Source organism: Homo sapiens, chromosome 6, assembly GCF_000001405.40.
Source record: "Homo sapiens chromosome 6, GRCh38.p14 Primary Assembly".
Taxonomy (NCBI): domain Eukaryota; kingdom Metazoa; phylum Chordata; class Mammalia; order Primates; family Hominidae; genus Homo; species Homo sapiens.
The window spans coordinates 130,307,157-130,330,174 of record NC_000006.12 but is presented as its reverse complement, the minus strand read 5'-3'; the positions used below and the strand labels follow the sequence as shown (position 1 = coordinate 130,330,174).

General features: G+C 37.9%; 1 protein-coding gene and 1 long non-coding RNA gene across 5 annotated transcripts in view; one reads left to right on the top strand and one right to left on the bottom strand.

Moving 5' to 3' along the window:
- SAMD3 (sterile alpha motif domain containing 3) overlaps nucleotides 1–23,018 on the top strand; it is a 223,117-nt gene that overhangs the window by 35,694 nt on the left and 164,405 nt on the right. The window contains exon 2 of one of the 3 annotated variants that reach the window (NM_001258275.3): nucleotides 17,082–17,197. The exons of the other annotated variants lie outside the window; for them this stretch is intronic. The gene's annotated coding sequence lies outside the window, so the exon portion shown is untranslated. The remainder of the gene's footprint in view (nucleotides 1–17,081; nucleotides 17,198–23,018) is intronic. 3 annotated transcript variants of the gene reach the window in all.
- LOC112267974 (uncharacterized) lies at nucleotides 6,673–21,694 on the bottom strand. Of its 2 annotated transcripts, XR_007059768.1 has the most exons (4): nucleotides 21,584–21,670; nucleotides 20,198–20,308; nucleotides 12,367–12,505; nucleotides 8,606–8,951 (listed from the first exon to the last, which is right to left on the bottom strand). It is a non-coding gene; the product is annotated as an uncharacterized LOC112267974 (long non-coding RNA). The 2 variants fall into 2 exon arrangements; XR_002956398.2 differs by having other exon boundaries at nucleotides 6,673–12,505; nucleotides 21,584–21,694.

Sequence of the window (23,018 nt, the reverse complement as noted above, 5' to 3'; positions counted from 1 at the left end):
CCTTACTTCATCACACATGAAATGTACTATGCTGCAATTACTCATCTCTTCTACACTTATCAGAGTCACAGAACCATTTTCTTTCATTTCTTTTTTATCTTTAAGTTCTGGGATACATGTGCTGAATGTGCAGGTTTGGTACATAGGTATACATGTGCCATGGTGGTTTGCTGCTCCTATCACCCTGTCATCTAGGTTTTAAGCCCTGCATGCATTAAGTGTTTGTCCTAATGCTCTCCCTCCCCTTTCCCCCCACCCCCCAACAGGCCCCAGTGTGTGATGTTCCCCTCCCTGTGTCCATGTGTTCTCATTGTTCAACTCCCTCTTATAAGTGAGAACATGCAGTGTTTGGTTTTCTGTTCCTGTGTTAGTTTGCTGAGGATGATGATTTCCAGCTTTAGCCATGTCCCTGCAAAGGACATGAACTCATTCTTTTTTATGGCTGCATAGTACTCCATGACATATATGTGCCACATTTTCTTTATCCAGTCTATCATTGATGGGCATTTGGGTTGGTTCCAAGTCTTTGCTATTGTAAATAGTTCTGCAGTAAACATAAGTGTGCATGTGTCTTTATAGTAGAATGATTTATAATCCTTTGGGTATATACCCGGTAATGAGATTGCTGGGTCAAATGGTATTTCTGGTTCCAGATCCTTGAGGAATCGCCACACTGTCTTCCACAATGGTTGAAATAATTTACACTCCTACCAACTGAACCATTTTCATTTGGCTTTTTAAAAATTTCATTCTACTGCCATCCAGGACCTCATTTTGGGTGCTTTTTATGTGAAAATGGATTGTAAAGATATCAGGCAGATGTCATTAGTCCCCAGAATGAATGTGGTTTTGCTAATAGAGGCAGGTCTAATTAGCAATACTAAACTTTACCAGGCTTTTTTTTTTTTTTTTTGAGATTCATTGATTCTGTTAATCTATATTTAGCTACTATAAAAAAGGCAGTGGTAATGATGGTAGCCACCATACCAAAGATAATTGGAAAAATATGGTCTGCTAAATTCAAACAGAAAGTAGAAGCGGATTAACAATGACCAAGGCATATACATGTAATATAAATAAGTAGGCAGATAATAGATAGGTGATAGATAAGAGAGAGAGAGAGAGAGAGAGGGAGAGAGAGAGATATTGGTCTACACCTAGATCCCCTCCCTCTCTTACTTGTGGCCATCTAAAGACAATCTCTTATATTCTCGTTTCCCTCTGACACTCTCAACCTTGTCTTGGTAAATCTGCCATTTTTCCTTTATACTCATAAACCTTACACTTACTTGCTTTCCACTTAGATTTCTCTACATTACAACTATCTACTTTGGATCCCAAATGATTTTCTATATTTTATCCAGAAGATTTCTTGAAGTTGAGAATAGGTGGATAGAGAGTTCCAGCAAACTGGGTACTTGGATGACTAGAACAAATGGAAGGCTTTTCTAAGGTTCAGAAATTGTTTTTGGCTAAACAGCCTTGGTCTTGAGGCCTAATTGATCCTAGTGTCAGCATGATGGGCTGAGGGAGGTAAGCTGACAGTGTGCAGAGTAGAGGCTGAGAGGACCAAGCTTGCTTTTGGGTTGACCTCATGTGTAGTCATCTGATAATAAAACCTCAAAGTCCAAGATAACTTGGATTCAGTTTCCTCATAGGCTAATGTGAATATACAGAAGTCCTACTCTTTTAGGTGGAGTTATGGGATTAGTATTGCCTGGGCATTGATGGCACATAAGTGGTAGCATCTTAACCCTGAAAGAGGTGGGGAAAAAGTGAATTTCAAATTGAAACAGGACCCTAGCCAGAGCCTCTAGGTAGTAGACAGAGTTTAGCCCACCAGGAAGTGAGGGTTGGCAAGTACTGAGCTGTTGTTTGGCCAAAACCAGCAATCAGAGACCAGGGCACATAGCTCCAGGTCCAGCAGGTCCTGTAATATGAATCAGAATTGGGGCATGAGTCCCAACACACGATAGGCTTACCAGGAGCAACTGTGGAAAGGGTATCAGCCAATTATCCCATGGGTCCACTTCCAGGGTCTCACATGAGATCTGCAACATTGATCAGCAGGTGAATTTCAAACCTCAGCTTCAATGGGAGACTCAGAAAGTAGACAGAAGACAGGCAGCTACAGGTAGGGGTAGAATGGACCATATCTAGAGAGTTAGAGCCTTCTTGGCTGGTCCATATTTTAATATTTTAATCCCATTTCTGGAGATAAACAATGCTTGCCTCATTAATTCTCCTGATTGGTTTGAAAAAATGCTTTTTAATTAATTTTTCATTCACTTCTTCCTTATTTTCTTTGTTGATCTCTTCACGTATAGGTTTCATCAGTCATAATATGGGTATTGTAGTCACTTCTACCTTATAAATTCTTCTGAGTATTAAAATGACAAAATGTTAAAAAGTATCTTACATTTAGCATAATGCTGGATGCATACTTCTCAATATGGTGGTTATTACAAATATTAATATCAATATCTGTTCCACACAGATTGTAAATACCAGCTGTCAATTTAGTGAGTCTCTACTTTAATCAACTTAGTAAGGCTTCATGCCAAGTTGACCATTTACTCAGTTTTAATTTTGATACCTTTTTGATGCATAAGTCTAATGGCTATTTTTATTAGATTGATTTTTATTTAAAGAGTTGTCTGGTTTATCATCCATTAATTTAGAATTTGCTAGTTACTAAATAGAGAATTTCATGTTTTTCAGTCCTAAATCTCTAATATTTAAGAGACTTACTGATATTCTAGAGAAAAATTAATGTCTTTTTAAAAGCTATAAATTTGATATTTAATGATAAATTCAATTTAGTTCAGTTCTAGAATCTGGAGAATGGTAATATCTGTTTACTGGCAGCTTTCTTTAGAATGAACTTCTTTAGCCTCTGATTTTTTTTAAAGTTTAAATTTTGACTGATGTGTTTCATGGAAAAAAATGCACATGCCAATGCTTATTTTTCATAGTAAAATTCATTGATTTATAGCTGTCCATCTGTATAAACTTCATGTCCCGGGGTTTCAAATTCATTTAAGGAAACAAGAATACAGTCTAGGAAAGGAAGGTAAAGTATTTTATAATTTATGAGGTACATACTGGGAAGAAACATGCCAAGCTAAAACAAATGCTTTCCTGTGAAAAGAAAAAGTATCACGTGAATTATAATGGAATTATTTGTTCAATGTTTGTTTATAAATCCAATTATTAAAAACCTGAAATAAATTACAATTTAAAATATAACTATCTTACAGTTAAAAATGGTATTCACTGCAGTATCTCATCTATATCCACCAGGGTAGTGCCTGTGGTTGGATGACTGGTGCAGTTTACAACTGGAGTGGTGGAGTAGACGTTCACATTATCCTCTATGGGACTAGTACCCATGCCCAGAATAGTGCAGTGCACAATGTGTACAGCTGTACTCAGTGGCCCTAGCTATGGCAGACACACTCGTAATTAGTGGCGATCCTAAATTCCTGTGGCATCCAAGTTGTTCATTCCACAAAAAGAAAAAACAAGTACAAATATTTATGGACTGCCTTCTGTGCACCATTAAAATTACTACAATGTTTAAGAAAGAATTCCTACCCAAAAGGAGCACAGAGAGAAAGCCAGACAGATGAACAGTAAAATAGAATGTGATACAAGAATTCAGTTAGAGAAATGTACAAGGTACAATAGGACAAAAGAAAGGGGGCATGTAATACAACCTGGGACTTCAGAAAAAAGTTACTAAAAAATACGTCACATTGGCTCAGCAATGAGGATGAGCAGAAGTTTGCAAAAAAAAAAAAAAAATGACCAGGCATTTCTAGAGATGGAAACATCCTAGGTAAAGTCATAGGGGCAGGAGATATCAGGGTATATGGCAGGAGACATAATCAGCTCAGTAGTATTTAAGCATACAACATAGGACAAGAGTAGAGAAACATGAGGCTAGAATTAAGGCAGGTGGCTGACATACAAATAGAGTCAGAAAATCCAAACTATAAGCTACTGCAGTAGTCCAGATAAGAGATGCTTAATGCTTAAACTAGGATCGAGATGGCAAGAGTGAAAATAAGGGGATAGATTGGATAAATATTCATCATTTATTCATTCCTCTGACATTCGTTGAGTTTTAAGGACTATGCTCAATATGCCCCTGAGTTTATCAACCAAGTCCCTGCCCACGTGGCAGATGCAGTCATGTAAGGGAGACGCATGGGAGGCAAACTTGAGGATTAAGTGTCTGACAGAATTGAAAAGTAGGCAAGTGAAAGCCAGGCCGGTCAACTTCTAGATTTTTGATGGGCAGCTGCTAGATGTGGCCCATTCTCTAAATCGGTATTACTGTGGGAGGAGAGGATGATGATGAGTTCAGGAACGGGTACATTGAACTCAAAACACTCGAACCATGACATTTAAAGAGTAATTTCAGCATTGAATTGTGCCAAAAATATAAAGAAATACATAAATCATACACAGCGTGATGCTTAATTTTGGTGTCACCTTGACTGGCTTAAGGGATATCCAGATAGCTGGTAAAGTATTATTTCTGGGTGTGTCTGTGAGGATGTTTCCAGAAGAGATGAGCATTTGAGCATCCTATTAAACAATCTTATTTTCTGTGAGGATGTTTCCAGAAGAGATGAACATTTGAATTAGTAGACTGAGTCAAGAAGATGGCCCTCACGAGTGTGGGTGGGCATCATCCAATCTGTCGAGAGCCTGAACAATAAGACAGAGGGAAGGTGAATTCTCTCTCTTCAGGAGCTGGGACACCACCATCTCCTGCCCTTGGACATCAGACCTCCAGGTTCTCCAGCCTTCAGACTCTGGAGTTTGCAGCAGGAACAGCTCACGAGGTTCGCAGGTCTTTTGTCCTCACACAGCTTCCTTAGCTCTCCTTGCAGACACCATATCAAGGGACTCTTGGCCTCCATAATCATATGAGTCAATTTCCATAATAAATCCCTTCTTACATATCTCTCTATATATAAGTTCTTTTTCTCTGGAGAACCCTGACTAACATACTACATATACATAAATACATAAAACTACAATGAGATTTCTGCTAAAGGAAAAACCTGCTCGATAGAGCTCTTGTTTATGAATGGATGGATATAGTTCTTCAGAGCTGAATTGTACGTGCAGTATTTCATTTAAGGCTCCACTGATATTTATGGCAGTAAAAAGATGTTCAATTTAAAATGACAAACTTATAATTTAAAGCAATAAAAAGATACACAAGAACCCCTGGCTCCTTGGCAAGATTGGACTGCAGCCTCACAGTGTGAGGCACCGGGAAAGAATTTGTTCTTGTGTGTAGGCTGAACCCAGACCAGTAGGCGATTGCATCTGGGCAAGATCTGTGAATGAGTTAACATTTTTCTATTCCAAAAAAAAAAAAATGTTCTCCAAAAAGTAGTTTTTGTTATTTTACTTTCAGCTGTTTTCAAGGATAATGTTCAGATTTTTTGAATTCAGGAATTCACTTGAGGTATTTAACAGATCTTTCGGCTTCTTCCCAGCCTAATTTTCCTAATAAGCAGCATTTTAACCTACTTTCTTTAAGAAAAGAGAAATAACTTCAAGGGGAAAGAAAGTAGAGTAAGCTGATACAAACACTCCAGAAAGTGCTTCACAATTTGAAAAGTGTCTAAGAATGAAACTTTATATTTTGATGGTAAAAAAAGCTAGTTCCAAAAATAATTATGCCTTAATATTACACAAATTCATTCAACCATATGAAAAATATAGACTGTCAAGAATATTCTTCACAAACATTTCTTAACAGCAAAATCAATCACAGTTAACATACTCATCATATGTATGGCTTTTGCCAAATTCGAGCAGCAATCTGTTTAAAAGGAGAAAAAAGCACTAAATATGAGTCCTCGTTTCTAATCTGAAAATAAGAGGGTTGACCTAATGATCTCGAAGGTAACTGCTAATTTAAAAAGCCTGCTATCCTAGATCAGTATTTTGAGATTAAACTAATCTTTCCAAACTAAACTTTCTAAACTTTGTAAATTATTAACAGTAATTTGCTCTATGTAAAATGTTAAGACATTTTGAAGGTTTATTTAAATTTAAAGTGTTCTATTTTGAATCATGCAAGATTGATATGTTATAAAAAAAAAGTTCCAAGATGTTAAATGCCAGAGTGTATTTATTCATTCATCCCTTGTGCATCCCATGCACACCATCATATTGAGCCATTTATTTATTCATTCATTGGTTTAAATATTTATTGAGCATATGCTGCATAGCCAGCACTTAAAAGACACTAATGAAAGGGAACCAGAAGACACATTTTCTGCCCTTTTCCCTTAGAACCTGATTGGATGGGAAATTCTTTTTTTTTTTTTTTTTTTTTTTGAGACAGAGTCTACCTCTGTGACCCAGGCTGCAGTATAGTGTCACGATCTCAGCTCACTGCAACCTCCGCCTCCCGGGTTCAAACAATTCTTCTGCCTCAGCCTCCTGAGTAGCTGGGATTACAGGCACATGCCACCACGCCCAGATAAGTTTTGTATTTTAAGTAGAGATGGTGTTTCACCATGTTGGCCAGGCTGGTCTTGAACTCCTGGCCTCAAGTGATCCGCCTGCCTTGGCCTCCCAAAGTGCTAGGATTACAGGTGTGAGCCACCATGCCTGGCCTGGACAGGAAATTCCTGAATGGTGCTTAACATGTACAGCAATAGTCTAAGCACTCATCATACAAAAAAAAAAAAAATTGGAAATTTTACCTTGCAAAATATTAGTGTGTCTTTGTCCATAATTTCAGGGAAATACAAGTGAAAGAGTGAATTAAGATACTTGAATGATGTGACTTGTCAGGGATTTGCTGCCAAGAGCATCTCACAGGGAAGCCAGGAGTGTGGATGGGTAAAGAGGAAGTAGGGATCTGGGAACTGAAAACCCCAACATAGAGGCTTCAGGGAGCCTGGTTTTTGCAAGGTCTGGGAAAGAGGTATCCGTTGTCCTGTTCTCTCACTTGTCTCTATTTTATATCTGTCTAACATTCACCTATCAGAAGAATCACTTAAAAACATTATATTTATTATGAACAGCAGACATTATTTGCTGTTTTGACTTTTTATAAAATGCTCCATGGTAACTGCTTGTAAAACGGTTTTATTTTATATGTCAATGGCCTTTGCATGATAGTCCTTGTCTGACTTTCCATCTATTATTCCATGAACATTTTCTATTGTCAACTTTTAAATGCTAGGAAAAAAACAAACTAGTGGCTTGAGAGTCAAGCCTATTCCATTTTCTGTTAACCAGCAAATCACTCCCATACTGCCACCTAGTGGGCCATAGCAGCAGCTTCCACGATTGACAGAAATTGTTAATTCAAGTAAACTCAAATTTAGGATTCTTCAAAATTTCTGCTTTTGCATTAGTTGCTTGGAATACTCAAATCATCTTAACATAAAAATGATATCATGAATGGTTGTTAGGTTTCCACCTTGCTCATAAAACCATTGATCCCACATAAAACCATTGAACCATTTGCTTTGGTTTGGTTTGGTTTTTTGAGACAGTCTCACTCACTCTGTCGCCCAGGCTGGGGTGCAGTGGTGCAATCTCGGCTCACTGCAACTTCTGCCTCCCGAGTTCAAGTGATTCTCCTGCCTCAGCCTCCGAGTAGCTGGAATTACAGGCGTGTGTCACCATGCCCGGCTACTACAATGTACTTTGAATGAACACTGTCTATGTATGCAGACCTATCTGTAGTCACAGCTCCGTGGAGATGTCTCGTGTCATCTCACTTGTACCTTCTGCTCTTACTCGTCCTACAATCTATGAGAAAATGCCTGATTCCCAGCCTTCCACTCCAGCCTTGATGCCTCGACCTGTACTCTGGCTTGGGCAGAAAAAGAACTTCCTTGGGGTCCATCTCTCTCTCTCTCAGCCTGCTGCTGGTTCCTGAAGCTGTGGCTCAACCAAGAACCAGATTCCGCCTCTGTCCCTGTCCCAATTCTGGACTAGCCTCCATTCCACCCTTGCCTGGCCCCTTTGGATGCCTCGCTCCAGCCTTGCCTCTCTGATGGCTCAGTTAAACCCTCACTAATGAGTTCCCATAGTGATTTTCACCCTGTGGCTGGATCAGGCCCTCACAGCTCCTCTTGACCAGAGAGGTAGTTGTCTTCTCTGCTTATTCCTCCTTTCCAAATATTTTTAAGTGTATGATGAATTAGTAGTGTGTTTGCCTGATCCTAGGGAAAAAGGGACACAGTAGCTTAAGGAATTTCTCATTCTTCTGGTTTTCTGTGATGGCCTCTGTCCTTGAGTTGAGGTCTGAATATATGTAGAATATATCTAGCTAAAAGGAGCCTGCCTTATAGTCTAGACTTTTTTTTCAAATTTTATATAAAGGTGTCAAATATGTAATGGATATATACGTAGCTTGGCCAGGCAGTGTTTCGGGCCCTAGATATAAGATGCTGTTCTCATCTTATTTTATTGGGGGAATGAGAGACAGACAGCAAGTTAGCACATATATAACATATAATAATACTTTGAATGATGAAAAATGTCTTGAATGAGAAAAAACAAGGTAAGAGGACAATGAGTACTGGGAATTGTATGTGTCAGTGGGGATATTTTACATAGTTTTCTAAGGAACACCTCTGGATTAGTTGTCTATGGCTGCATAAAAAATTATCCAGAGGTTTAGCAGCTTAAAATAACAAACATTTATTACTTCGCCATTTCCATGGGTCAGCAATCCAGGTGCAGATGAACTGGGTGCCTGTGAATCAAGGAGGTCTCTCACAAGTCAGCCATCAGGGTTGGGGCTGCAATCATTTCCAAGCTTAACTGGGAGAGTATCTGCTTCCAAGCTCACTCACATGGCCAGTGACAAGCCCCAGGTGCTCACTGGCTCTCGATCACAGATATCAGTTTCTTGCCTTATAGGTCTGTCCGTAAGGCAATTGACAAGAGTTCTAAGAAAGATAGAATGAGAAAGACTGGTACAGAGCATGAAAGATGTAAGCCAGACTCTTTTTGTAACCTCATTGTGGAGGTGGCATCCTATCACTTCATTGCATTCTATTTGCTACAAGTGAGTCACTAGGTCCAGCCCACACTCACCTAGTAAATACAAGCAGGCAGAGATCATTGGGAGTTATGTTAGACAAAGTGATATTGGATGAGAGGCTAGAATGAAGTAAGGAGCAAACTCTCTGGGGAAGCATTACCCATGTCAAGGGATCAGCAAATATGTAAACCTTGAGACAGGCACATTCTTGATGTGTTCAAAGAACAGCAAGATTTGCTTGTCTGGAGCCCAGGAAGCAAAGGAGAGAAGCACAGAAGATGAAGTCAGATATACCTGGAAGGTAGACATGGACCTGCTGTGTATCACTATAGATCAGTGTGTAATTTTAAGAATTTTATATAAATGGAATTAGACATTTATATAAATAATAATCAGCATAATTGTTTTGAGATTTATCCATGTTCTTGAGTATATCAATAATCCATTCCTCTTTATGTCATTGATTGTAACACTGTTAATCTATTCACCTGTTGATGGGCATTTAGGTTGTTTTTAGTTTGGGGCCGTTACAAACAAAGTTGCTATAAACATTCATGTGCAAATCTTTTTATTTATCTTGGATAGTTACATGAGCACGCAATACCTGAGTCATACAGCAGCTATATGTATCTTTTTTAAAACTGCCAAGCTGTTTTCCAAAGTGGCAGGACCATTTTCCATTCCCACCATTCAATGTGTGAGAATTCCAGTTGCTCCACATTCTCCCCCAACATTTGATTTTTAATTTTAGCCATTCTAATACGTGCATAGTGACATTCTTTTGTGGCTTTAGTTTTCCTTTCCTCAATGATTAGTGCTATTTAACATTTTTTCATCTACCTACTTGCTATTCATTTATCTTCTTTGATGAAGCTTCTGTTCAGATTTCCCCCATTTCTTTTTTTGAAGAGGAAAGAGTTGTTTGAGTTTTGAGAATTCTCTGTATATTCTGGATCTGAGTCTTTTATTAGATATGCGTTTGATATTTATTTCCCATTTTTTCCATTTGTTCTTTATTGCCTTTTTCCTTTTACTGCCTTCTTTTGGATGGATTGAATAGTTTGTATTATTCCATTTTCATATTCTCCACAATTTTTTAATGTGTTGGGGGACGTGTGTGTGTGCATGTGTGTGTGTGTTTATTTTTTTCTCTTTGCAATTCATTTTGGAAACTTTTTATTGATCTGCTTCAAGTTTACTGATTCTTTTCTTAGCCATGTCAGGTCTACAATTATTTCTAATTTTCCCCTTCTGGGTATTTTTTGTTTATTTGTTTTGCTGCTGCTTTCATGCATTTTACTTCTACATGTTAAACTTACACATTAAAACCCCACAATATTTGGTTTTTAATTCTGCCTCAAGCCATTGATTATATTTTAAAGATATTTAATAAGAAAATTCTCTATATTTTTCTACATGCCATTTCTTAATTCTCTTCATTATTTTGTATAGGACCAAATTTCCATCTAGCATCATTTGCCTTATGCTTGAAAGACTTCTTTCAACATTTTTTGTAGGGCAGGGTCTGCTGGTGATTAATTCCTTTAACTAATATGTACCTTCATTTTTGCAAGATGTTTTCCCTGGATAAAAAATTACAGGCTGAAAGTTTTGTTTTTGTTTTTTCAGTATTTACTGATGTTGCTCCACTGTTGTCTAGTTTGCATTGTTTTCATCAAGAACTCTGCTCTCCTCCTTGTCTTTTTTCCTTTGTATCTAATGTGTCTTTCGCTTCGGGCTTTTAAATTTTTCTTTTTTTAACTGGTTTTAAGCAATTTCATTATAACGTGTCTTTGCATACTTTTCTTCATGTTTCCTATGCTTGGAGTTCTTTAAGATTCTTAGACCTGAGGTTTATAATTTTCATCACATTTGGAAATGTTTTTAGTAATTATTTCTTTCAAATGTTTTTCTGTCCCTCTCTCTCTTCTCCTGTGGGGGTTCCAAATTCTCCTGTATTAGTTTGCTTGAAGTTGCCTCACAACCCACTGATGCTTTATTGATTCGTTCAGGATTTTTTCCTTCTTGGATAGTTTCATTTGGGATAATTTCTATTACCATGTCTTCAAGTTCACTCATCATTTTTTCTGCAATACCTAATCTGTCATTGATCCAGTCTGTCTTTTTATCTCACACATTATAATTTTAACCTTAAGAAATTCGATTTTTGTATCTTCATATCTATAACTAACAGTTCAATCTTTTCTCTAGCTCCATAAATATATGGAATATCTATGTTCTGTTTTAATAACAGAACTAACAACCTTATCAATAAGCTTAATGTCTTCAATAACTGATTATCCATGTAATTTCTGGGCTAATTTCAACTAATTATTCTTTACCAGCTTGTGGGCCCTGTTTTCCTGTGTCTTTCCATGCCTATTAATATTTTATTAGATGGGCTGGGCACAGTGGCTCATGCCTGTAATCCCAGCACTTTGGGAGGACAAGGTGAGCAGATCACTTGAGGTCAGGTGTTCAAGACCAGCCTAGCCAACATAGTGAAACCCCATCACTACTAAAAATACAAAAATTAGCTGAGCATGGTGGCGTGTGCCTGTAATCCCAGCTACTCAGGAGGCTGAGGCACAAGAATCACTTGAACTCAGGAGGTAGAGGTTGCAGTGAGCCGAGATCTCACCACTGCACACCAGCCTGGGCGACAGAGTGAGACTTTGTCTCAAAATAAAAAATTAAAAAAAAAATTTTTTTATTAGATGTCAAACATTGTAAAATTTAGCTTCTTGGGTGCTGCATATGTATTTTATTTCTATAAATATTCTTGAGCTTTGTTATGGGAGATAGTTCATTGGAAAGCATATGATCATTTTGAGTCTTGTTTTTTTAAGCTTTGTTAGGCAGAAACAGAGCAGTGATAGTCCAGGCCTGACTTTAGCTGTACTAATGAGGCAAAATTCTTCTGAGTACTCTACTCAAATGCCCACTGAATTATGAGGCTTTCCATTCTGGCTGGTGGGAAGAAGTTCCAGTTGCGGCTCCATGTGAGCTCCAAGGATTTCGCCTCTAATCCTTTAGATTCTTGCCCCCAGCCTTGGGTGGTTTCCTAACATGCATGTGTTGATCAGTACTCAGTTGAATACTTAAAGACTCCCTACAGGTCTGCGTAGTTTTCAATCTATGTAGTTCTCTCTTTTCTGGCATTCTACTCTGTGGCCTCTAGCCACCTTGGCCTTCCCGGTCAATCAACATTGTCTGCTTACTCTGAGAATCTTACCCTGAGAATCTCCTTACTCTGAGAATATAGGCCTGCAGCCTGAATACTCTCTCCAGGCAGTAAGCTGGGACACTATAGGGCTTACCTTGCTTATTTCTCATCTCTCCAGCATCACTGTCCTTTGTTGCCGGCACACAATGTCTTGAGAACTGCTGTTTTGTATATTTTTTTCCAGTTTTCCAGTTGCTTCCAGTGGGGAATAAATCCTGTCCCTGTCATTCCATCTTGATCAAGAGCAGAAATTAAAAGTGCATTTTTAGAACAGCCATTCTACTTATTCTGCCATTTATCTATCTACAAAAACAACTCATCCTTTAAGTCCAAATATAATATCAGTTTCTTTGTATAAGACTTTCCTGACATTCCCAGTATTTCCTAATGAACCCTATTACAGCATTTATCACAATGTATTTTAATTATTTGGTTATATGTATATCTCCTCTGTTAGGAGAGATATACATAGTATCATATATCATAATAAAATACATGCATTTCTATTCCCAGTGCCTAGAACAATAAGTAACACGTAGTAGGCGTCCAACAAATATTTTATGGATGTTCTGTGAGCTCTTTGTGGTTCTTCTTTGGAAAGTTCTCATGAACTGGCCATCAGTTCATCTAAATCTGGAATGTCAGCCTTCCCATCAGGATTTTAGGATTTTAGGAAAGCGTTGGGCTCCATCACTGCCTTCTTTCTCCCACTCCCTTATCACCTAGTTGCTGACAGGTGTTCAGGAAAATTATAGCTAATAGTAATCATAAGAACAGTAAGGCAAATAGCTGGTGGTGCCTACTAGTACATCCAAATTGTAACTCAGGATTTCTCACTGGTCCATCTGCATTAAATTCTAAAAATCCACAGACCAGGAGTCAGAAGGCCTGATGTGCAGTCTGCTCTGTCACCTCCTGGCTGTACAAACCAGAGCTGTTAACCAACCTCTTAAAGCCATTTTGTGGTCAAGAAAATGGGAATGATAATAATACAGGTTTACAATATTTTGTCTGCAATTTCAAAATCCTAAAAGCTGTGAAAATCAAATCCTTTGTCATAACTCATCTGGCATCAAAATCTGACCTATATGAAATGAACTCATGTGAAGCTCTTTAACACTTTTATTTGATCCCATTATGATCCCTCAGACCCTCCTGGGTATAGTGTATAATGTATGCTAAGGCCACCAACATATCTTTCTAAAAATTGAAAAATTCTAAATTCCAAAATCTGACCCCAATGCATTCACCTTAATAGAGCATACACTTGGGCCAAGCATTTCCTAAAAGGGACTGTGGTTCTTTCCCTACCTCATGGGGTATTTGTGAGGTGTAAGGATAACATAAATTAAAGCTCTTATCATAGTACCTGAATGCAGTAGGCCCTCATGAATTCAAGTTATTATTATTTTTTAATTATAAAAATTTTTAGCCCAAAATACATTTTCTCAGTTCTTCTGGAAAAGCACAAATAACCTATAGCACACTCTTCTAGCAATGTACTCAAGTTTTCTATTCCCTTTCTCTTCTTTTTTCTTTTTCTCACATTTTCTTATCCTTCCTTCCTTTCACTCTTCCTAATATTCCATTCTTTTTTTTTTTTTTTTTTTTTTTAAGACAGCCTTGCTCTGTTGCCTAGGCTGGAATGCAGTGCCATGATCTCGGCTCACTGCAACCTCCGCCTCCCAGGCTCAAGCAATTCTCCTGCCTCAGCCTCGCGAGTAGCTGGGGTTACAGGCGACTGCCACCACACCTGGCTAATTTTTGTATTTTTAGTAGAGATGGGGTTTTGCCAGGTTGGCCAGGCTGGTCTCGAACTCCTGACCTCAAGTGATCCACCCACCTCGGCCTCCCGAAGTGCTGGGATTACAAGGGTGAGCCACCACGCCCGGCCCCTAATATCCCATTCTTTTAGTCTCTTTGAGAGTGTGAAGAAAGATATGAACCTTCTTTCCAGAAAATCACTCCTTAGCACATATATACACACTTTCACATGCCCTTTTATGGAAGTCACAAAGTCCCCCAAGTCCATCAGGGGATCCTACTTTGGGGAGCTCATCGTTATAGAATTAATATCATATGTATAAGAAAAATACCATTCACGTGATGTATTACTGTTTACCAATAATTTAAATTATTTAAAAAATCATTTTATATTAAAAATACTATGCAAAATGTTTAAATGTTTGGAAAAAATGAAAATATTTCCAAAACAAATAAAAGGAATAACAGGTAAGTTACTATCCTGAATAACTTAGGCAGGTGAATCAACCAAACAACCTTTTATGGATATTATCAGTTCTATTTTTCTATGATTCTATTCGTGTCAACAATTTAAATTCGTGTAGTACATATAGCTTATAAAGTGCTTTTATATATATTAACTCCATAAATCCTCATAGCCTTCTTGAGAGTTGGGAAAGAGGCACATATTATCTTCATTTTACAGATTTAAAAATCAGACAGGCCAAATGACTTTATGTAAGGTCACATAACTCAATCTCCAAATGTCTAATCCAGTGATTATGCCAACACATTCACTGGTTCTTATGAAAATTATTCCCATATATAACTCTTCCATTCCAAGTTTTCATTGACACTCTAAACCATATTTGCATTTGACTTCTTTTATATATATGTATCTCTGAAATATATATATTTACATGATATTTTTCTGACATACTATAAGATGGTGGCTGTAACTGCTTCCCTCCTGTATTTTCTATTGACTTTCATGTAAGCACATAGGTTACACAACATGCCAATATAAGCCAAAAATATTGCTGTGAAAATCAAGGACAAGAACACCATATTATTCTCAATGCTCATTAGCTTGAAAGCAAAAGCACAATATAGTATATAGTTTGAGGAGGGAACTTGTAGTTTGTCCATGTATTAAGATTCAAATAAGTCATAATACAATGGAAATATTAATTCATATTTAGTGAGTATGTGATAACTAATACTTTTTAAAGTACTGGTATTCAGAAAGCACTGCTTATTCCTAGAAGCAGCTGGAGGGCATTTTTCAAAATTGCATGTAGCTATACCTGTAGAAAACTCAAAAGAAGTCCAATGCCAGGTCAAAGTTTTGTTCATAGGACACTTAGTTTATTTTATCTATTATGTTTTTCACAATTCCCCTATTGACGGAATTTTACTCCTGAGAGATTCAGTGACTTTCCCAGAGCCAGATATTTATCTGTGAAGAATTTCCACCTATCATTTTGTTAATTATTGAAATTAAATTCAATTCAATATCCTTTTTGGTTACTTCTTATGGCTAAATCCCACCTGATCCCTTAAAGTCATGAATTGAGCTCTCTCATCAATAAGAGGAATTATGCATGAGCAAGTATGACTAATACCTAAATAACACTTTCTGATTGCATCTAAGAGTAAATTAAAGAGAAAGTCTAACTGTAAGAACGTATGCCTTTGATTTTGTGGGTAAAATGGCAACCTGTAATCTCTATGTTTTTAAGTGATGAATCATAACCCAACATAGGTGTCTATTTGAAATTTATAATGGGTTTTTATAAATACTGTCTTGCTTAAAGGTGTCTATTTTGGAGGTCCCTTTATTTCAGGGCCTCTTAAGGGCTATATTGTTAGTTTCAAATGTTGCTTTTATTGAACAGATGATAAAGATATAACAATCAGGGCTTTAGGCAGAACAAAAGAAACATGAAAAGAGTGTTTTTTGTACCTTCAAATTTCCATTTTTTTCTTTAACCAAAACCATTAATAACACCTCTCCAGTGTACATATTTTACGTCCTTTCCACCTTCCCTCTCATCCAAACCTAGTTTCAGATAAGCAGCTGGAAATTCTGGCTACACGTAGCAGATTAAACACACATGTTTACTATTGCTCCTCTGTAACACGCCAAAATGAAAATAAATGCTTAAAAGCCATAAATCTACAAGAACAAAGAGAATGGGAGAGCAGATAACAGCAGATGAGAGATGTCAACAAAACTTTAGAGTCAAGAAAGCAGATGGATAAATAGCAATTGATTTGGCAGACCAGAGAAAACAGAACTGTGAGCTTGCAGGGAAGGAAGCTGCTTAGCTCTGGTGAATCTTGGAAATACTTAAATCTCGGGATAGTAGGTACCTCTGATAGCAGGACTTCAGGGCAAAGCTGCCAACTGGAGGATAGACTGAAAGTTTATGTGAAGCTCAGTTACACCCCAGATCCCCTCTCCAGGAACCTGGCCCTCTTCTACCTCTATGGAACAGATTTACCTTTGGAGAGATTTACAGCTGAAAATGGACAGTGGGGTGGCATTGGTGAAAGGCAACACAGAAAGTGAGGGAATTTAATAGAGTCTACCAACTGAATTGTGAGTCTCAAGTCCCTTTTCCTTTTGTCTCCCAGATTGCTTACAGCTGCACTTTTATTTTCCGGGCAGGAGAGAGAATTCCTTAAGGAGTCAGTGGTTATCAATGTAGGGTAATTTCGTCCACTAGGGGAACATGTTGACAATGTCTCAAAACATGTTTGTTTCACACACCTGGTGTATGGATCGGGGCTGTTGGGGGTAGCCATCTAGTGGATAGACACCAGGGATGCTGCTAAACATCCTACAAATACACAGGCCAGCGCCACACAACAAATTACCCAGCACAAAATGTCAATAGTGCCAACATTAAGAAATCCTGCACCATGACAGTGCTTTTCAAAGTGTACTCTCCAAGCCCACAGCATGCTCAGCAGCTGGGAACTTGTTAGAAATGCAAGCCTACCCAGACCTACCCAATCACCAACTTTGGCGGTGAGTCTTGGCCTTCTGTGTTTTAACAGGCTCTCCAAGAGATTCTAACTCAGTCACAGTTTGAACCACTACTGAACCACTGCTGTTAGGAAGCTACAACCCAAAAGAAAAGCCCCACAGATGCTGAGAGCTGGTGATCCTCAGGGTGAGTGTGCAACTGCCTCGCGTTCCCATCACGTGCTATGCACTACGAGACTGCCATCAACTTGTTAATAAATGACTCTTAAAAAAGAATAACCAGCCAGATAAATCACCAAATTATTGAGAAAAAGTGTCTAACATGAAAGTCAGGGACCCAAACAAACAAAAGATATGTGTGTGTGTGTGTGCATGTATACTCACACATAAGGCCTATAATTACTGTCTTCAACAAGATAAGGTAGGTTTCAACAAAACAAGGCAATGCCATTTTAGGCTGGATGATTTTAAAAGAAAAAAAGTTTAGAAAGCAAAAATTATCATTAAAAGAATAAAGAAAAAGAAGAAAAGTCAAGGCACAGAACTAAAATAGGGAATTGCAAATCACAGCCCAAACTAAAACGAGAATAACTTGATGCTGAGTTCCAGACTGAATGGGGTAAAATTACTTCACTGTCTCCTACTCAAAGACTGGATTGGCCCTGGACCCATAGATGGTTAAAATGAGAAAAGACTCCACCTCTGGCTGAGGAGGACTCTAAGGGTAAGGGACAGGAAGGGCCTGAGGAGGAAAGAGCACCGTGTAACGGTACGGTGAGCAAGCATGATTCAGGAATCAATGCATTACTTTCCTTTCGTCTCCCATTGTTGTTTTAAAATTTCTTCAGTGGAAAATGCCTTCTGCTTTTTGATAAAAGCCTTGGCAGTTTCCTGGCTTCTCACTCTTAAGTAATGGAGAGTTCAACCATCACTTAAAGTCACAAAACGAAGTCTCAATTTACACATGAAATGTGTCCAGTCCAATACATCAATCAACACTTCCATATTTATTTAGGGTAAGAGGTCTCCTTTTCCTCTTTTAGCTACAAGCCACAGAAGCAAGAATTTGTTCATTAGGAAGGAAGAGGTGTTTGTTAGCTGTGGCTTGCCTCTTTCTCATACTGTTTCTCCCCTCTTTGCTATCTGTGGTTTCAGCCCCTCAGGTATGGCAAGTGGGGGCGGGGGAGAAGCAAAGGGATGCTTTCTGGGCTGGTTTCAGGCAGGCTCCTTCTCTCGCTGGTACTTCTTTGGGCTCATCAAAGGCCCCCCTCCTGATGGGGAATGAAATCTATTCCTGTAGTTGTCACTCAGTCCTTGGATCCTGGTTCTCTAGCTATCCACCCAAACAGAGACCCTGTGTGGAAGGTCCTCTAGGACAGGACTTGAAACTGCTCCAGTCCATCTCATTTGGCTCTTTTTTCCCCTCTCCTCAACATGGCTGTCATCTGGTCCCAGAAGACTCTTATATCCTTTGCCCTGGTAAATGTGGACAGAGGAGACCATCTCAGCGCAGCCACCTCCACTCTGCTGCACTGGCCTCTTAAACTTGTTCAACTACTGGGCCTAAAAGAAAGCAGTAGTCTGGCAGATGTCTTCACAAATTTTTTTTCAACACTTCAGGTATTCCCTTTACTCTTAGTCTCAGTCAGTTTTTTAAAAATGTAGGGTCCTCACGCCTGTAAAATTTCCCCCTCACTTTCTTAGAAAACTTCGGAATACTGCTCTATGGGCACACAGAACCATGAGAGTGTCTGCAACAGCGACCAGGGAGCAGTAGGCTGGAGGAACCCCTCCTTGCCTGTGCCTTCAGGAGGGCAATAACTTCTCCAAGCCCCTATGTCCTCGTCTCTCATAAAATGCCTCTTTCATAAAATGTAAGTGCTTTCTAAATAAACTTTCAGTCCTAATATGTTTTGATTCTGACATACACTATTTTGGTAGCTGGATGGATAAAATCTATATTCACAATAGAAAAGGCTCAATTATAATAAAAGATTCAAGATCCTTTTTAAATGTAGCTCCTCCCCTCCGTAGGTGCATGATTTACGGGAGGAGGTGAGGTGGTGCACGGTATGTGTGGTTCTTTGTCAGGGCCCTGGCTCAGCTTTACTCTCTATTCAGCCCTCCCCAGCGCTGGAGCCATACATCCAAGGTACACCTCGCCAGTGCCCTCGCATTGGGCTGGTGCTGATACACTCTCCCTGCTTAATCCCCCGAAAAAGAATATTAGCTGTGATTTCAGTTTTAATCATTGAAAAATCGAAACCTACTAAATCCAACATATTGCTGTAGTTACTGAGGGTCTCACACTGGAGGATCCATTTCTTCTCTGCAGTCGAAAAAATTAGTGGCTATGTTAATAAATATACATTTACAATCAGTCTTCAGCTCATTATTTTTGCAATATAATTCAGATCCTTAAGCCTCTGAGATACGCAGTCTGCAGTTGTAGGGCATAGAAATACACAGGTGTTAAATTATCTGCAGAGAGCACGTTTACTGTAATTTTGAATTCAGTAGAAGTACATTATTTATTGCTTGGAAAAATTATAGCACTAAAATAGAATATAAAAACTATAACATTCAAGGAAATTGTGTTCCCCAGCTCAGAACCAAAACTATATCTACGTACAATGTGTGGAATTTTGTTATAATGTGGTATATTGTGCCTTGCTTTCTTTAAACAAAAAGAATTCAAATATTTTCTTTAACCAAAAAGTATTTTTAGAAGGCAGAGGTAATTAACCTTGGAAAGCCAATTATTCCTTTGGTTAATTATAAAATAAAATATAGAAAGCATTTCTATCAGTAAAAATTCTCCTTATGAGGGTTTTAAAACTCACCATATATGAAATGAAATCTTCTCAAAAGGCAATGCAGTATAGGATTACTAAGATTACATTTGCAATACAGATATTACAATATTCATAAAGATACAGAAGCAATTACGGTGATGATATTTTGCATTCTTTGAAACAGTTGAAACGGATTCTGTTTCAAATGGATAGGCATGCCAGAAAATTCTGGGAGAATATTATTCTCTAAGGTAAGAATAGAGAAACCATGAGTGTACACGATTCTTCTTTTATTTTTCTATGCATCTGCAGCCCATTTGGGGTTTGGATTTGAAATGCAGTGTTATGCTCAGACAGAAACAGGTATTAACTTAATTGAATAACAGAATTACCTGTAATTTTGTAAATTGCAGAAAGGTTTTTCTCTCTCTCTCCCTCTCTCTCTCTTCATATGATATTAGTAAGTGATTGCTTTCTGAGCTGGAAGGAGAAAACTGGGAAGGCTGAAATATACAATTAAAAAGGTGTTAGATAGGGAGCTTTTACCTCCCAATGGCACAGGATACTAGCAGAGGACAGTCAAGGACACCAGTTAACAAATGCAATGGCAGTGAAAATGGATTCTGACTCTCCACTCAGCAAAATAATTGGTGTCCCAAGTCCTTCAAGTTTACTTCTTTCCTCTGGTAAGGTGCCAGGAAATTCATCCTTCTTGGTTACTGTTAGGCTTTTTGCTGTTTTCAATTCCACTGCTTGGTGGCTAGATGCGCTTTGACTTAAGCACTTCAAGAGGACCACACCTGTGCTACTTGTTCTGATTTTTTTACTCTGTAGTTGCCGATATCAATGATTTTAAAAGCACTAGCATTGACTTTGTGGACTTAAAAGCAACAACAATAATGGATTCAAGAACAGTAGCTACAATTTATTGAGCATGTTTTGTGTGCCATGATATTAAATATAATACCATCTGATCTGCTTCCCACAAAAGCCCTGTGAAGTGGGGGATATTATTATACCCATTTTACAGATAAGGAAAGTGAAACTTGCTGAAAGTCATACAAGCTAGAGCTGGGTTATAAACACAGAATTTGGAATCTAACATTTATGCTCTTATGCCTCACATTCTAGTTTCCCCACATTGTAAGTAGTAGTATTTTCTGACTGTTTATACTATGCAAGGGATGATATCAAGTACTCTACATGCATCTTTTAAGTTATGACTACAGTGCTTGAAATACTCTGTCTCTTGTCTAATGAACTTGGAGAAGGCTCTCTTCTCACTAGGGTCAAACTTATGTAATAAGACTGCTGAAAGTTGTAGCCAAACCTTATTATCAGAGATCAAATATGAGTGTGGATTTTGCCATTCACCAACTTGGTGAAGTTATTTAAATTCTCTGATTCTTTTTCATTAAAATAAGGATAATAATTATGCCTGTTTCATGAGTCTTAAAGAGAATTATGAATTATTTCATTAAAGATCACCATGCACTCATTCTCAATAAATTTCAGCTATTGTGATATTAATTTTGGTATTTTACATATGAAAGGTAGATTTATAACTCTCATTCCCAAGTAGCTTGGGCCATTTTTATGTGGAGGTAGGTCAAAATGGCAATTGTGAATCAGTATCTAAGAAGTGTTTCAGCATCCTGATTTACTTCTATATTGGGGTCAATTCATTTCTCACTGAAAAAATTTTCCCCTTGATTTGAGGCAGACTTTATCCTTCCCTTGTTCCAGAGTCCTAATCTAGTTATCTAGAAAATACTTACTAGCCCAGAAATTCATTTTATCTATCTTTTACAAGGTCCAATGTGTTACCATCAAAATTGGGTATTATGCTATTTCCAGGATGGCCCAACCTTCTAGGTTGGCCTACAGATGAGCTTTCTCCCCAAGGACATTTCCTACACACACACACAAAAGAATAGAATAGAATAGAATAGAATAGAATAGAATAGAATAGAATAGAATAGAATAGAATAGAATAGAATAGAATAGAATAGAATAGAATTCTATGAACTTGCCAAATTGAGGAGGTTGAGATACAATGAGGACCTCGACTCTCTCCAGAATTTATAGGCATCTAAAAACCTTCCAAGATTATTATAACTTCCTGGAGAGAGAAGCTGTCCCTCATACCCCAGGAATTTCTTAGTCATGCACACCAGTTTCTGATTTAGTCAAGACTAACAGAGCTAAACCAAACAAACCCAAACAAATAAAGTAAAGGTCAAACAAAAGCTTGTTTGTTCAGAGAGGCCAAATGTGCATCAGAATGTGAGAGAAACCTTCCAGGATTATATGGTATCTACATTTAACCAATGATGGGTGTTCTTTAAAAACTTAAGTTTAAAATATTTGATGGGAGGCCCTCAGACTACCTGTGAGATGAAACTCTTCTGGCTCATGTTTGGCCACATACATCTATGTCAAAAGATATTATGAAAGCACAGGTCTTAACTGGCTATACACAAACTGGTTTTTTACAATCTTTGGTTCTAAAACAACTGTCTCAAATTCTATAGATGCTAAACCCTCTCAGACCAGCATCTATCTGCTTATACAAAAACATTGATTATAATGATTAAGTTAAATAAAGTGTGGGCCTACTACATTTTGTAACCAAAGCTTTTAAAAGCTTATTCTAACTTGTGGACATAACCATTAGCAACCAATTGACCTAAATTAATTCTGTAGTAAAATTCTATAAAAATGAACTGAGGATCATAGTTATTTGATTTTCAAAATTCTCTATTTTCCCCATGGTTTGTGGAACAGTCCACCCCAATATTAAGCCCAATTTTCCTTTATTAAATTATAAACCTAAGTTTCTTAAATCAATATTCTAATTCCTCTCTTAAAGAATATTTGAATAATACCATTAATAGGTCTTTGAAGAACTCTTATTTTCACAGTTAATTACAAAGAAAAGAAGGAAAAGAAAGCTTAACTCCAAATCTATCTCTCCCAATGCTCACAAAAAGATTAGCTACGTAATTTTTCAGAGACCCATGCAAAATAAAAATGTGGGACCTCTTGTTCAAAAATTAAAAACTCCAAGACAGCAACAGCAGAGCATTACAGTGCAAGAGACGGCCCTGTGGACCTGCACAGATCTCATGCCCTTGTGAGCCTTGCTCACAACTGCATTCACCCCATGTATAATCTCTCACATTTAGGGAATGCTTCTTTTCACTCCATGTG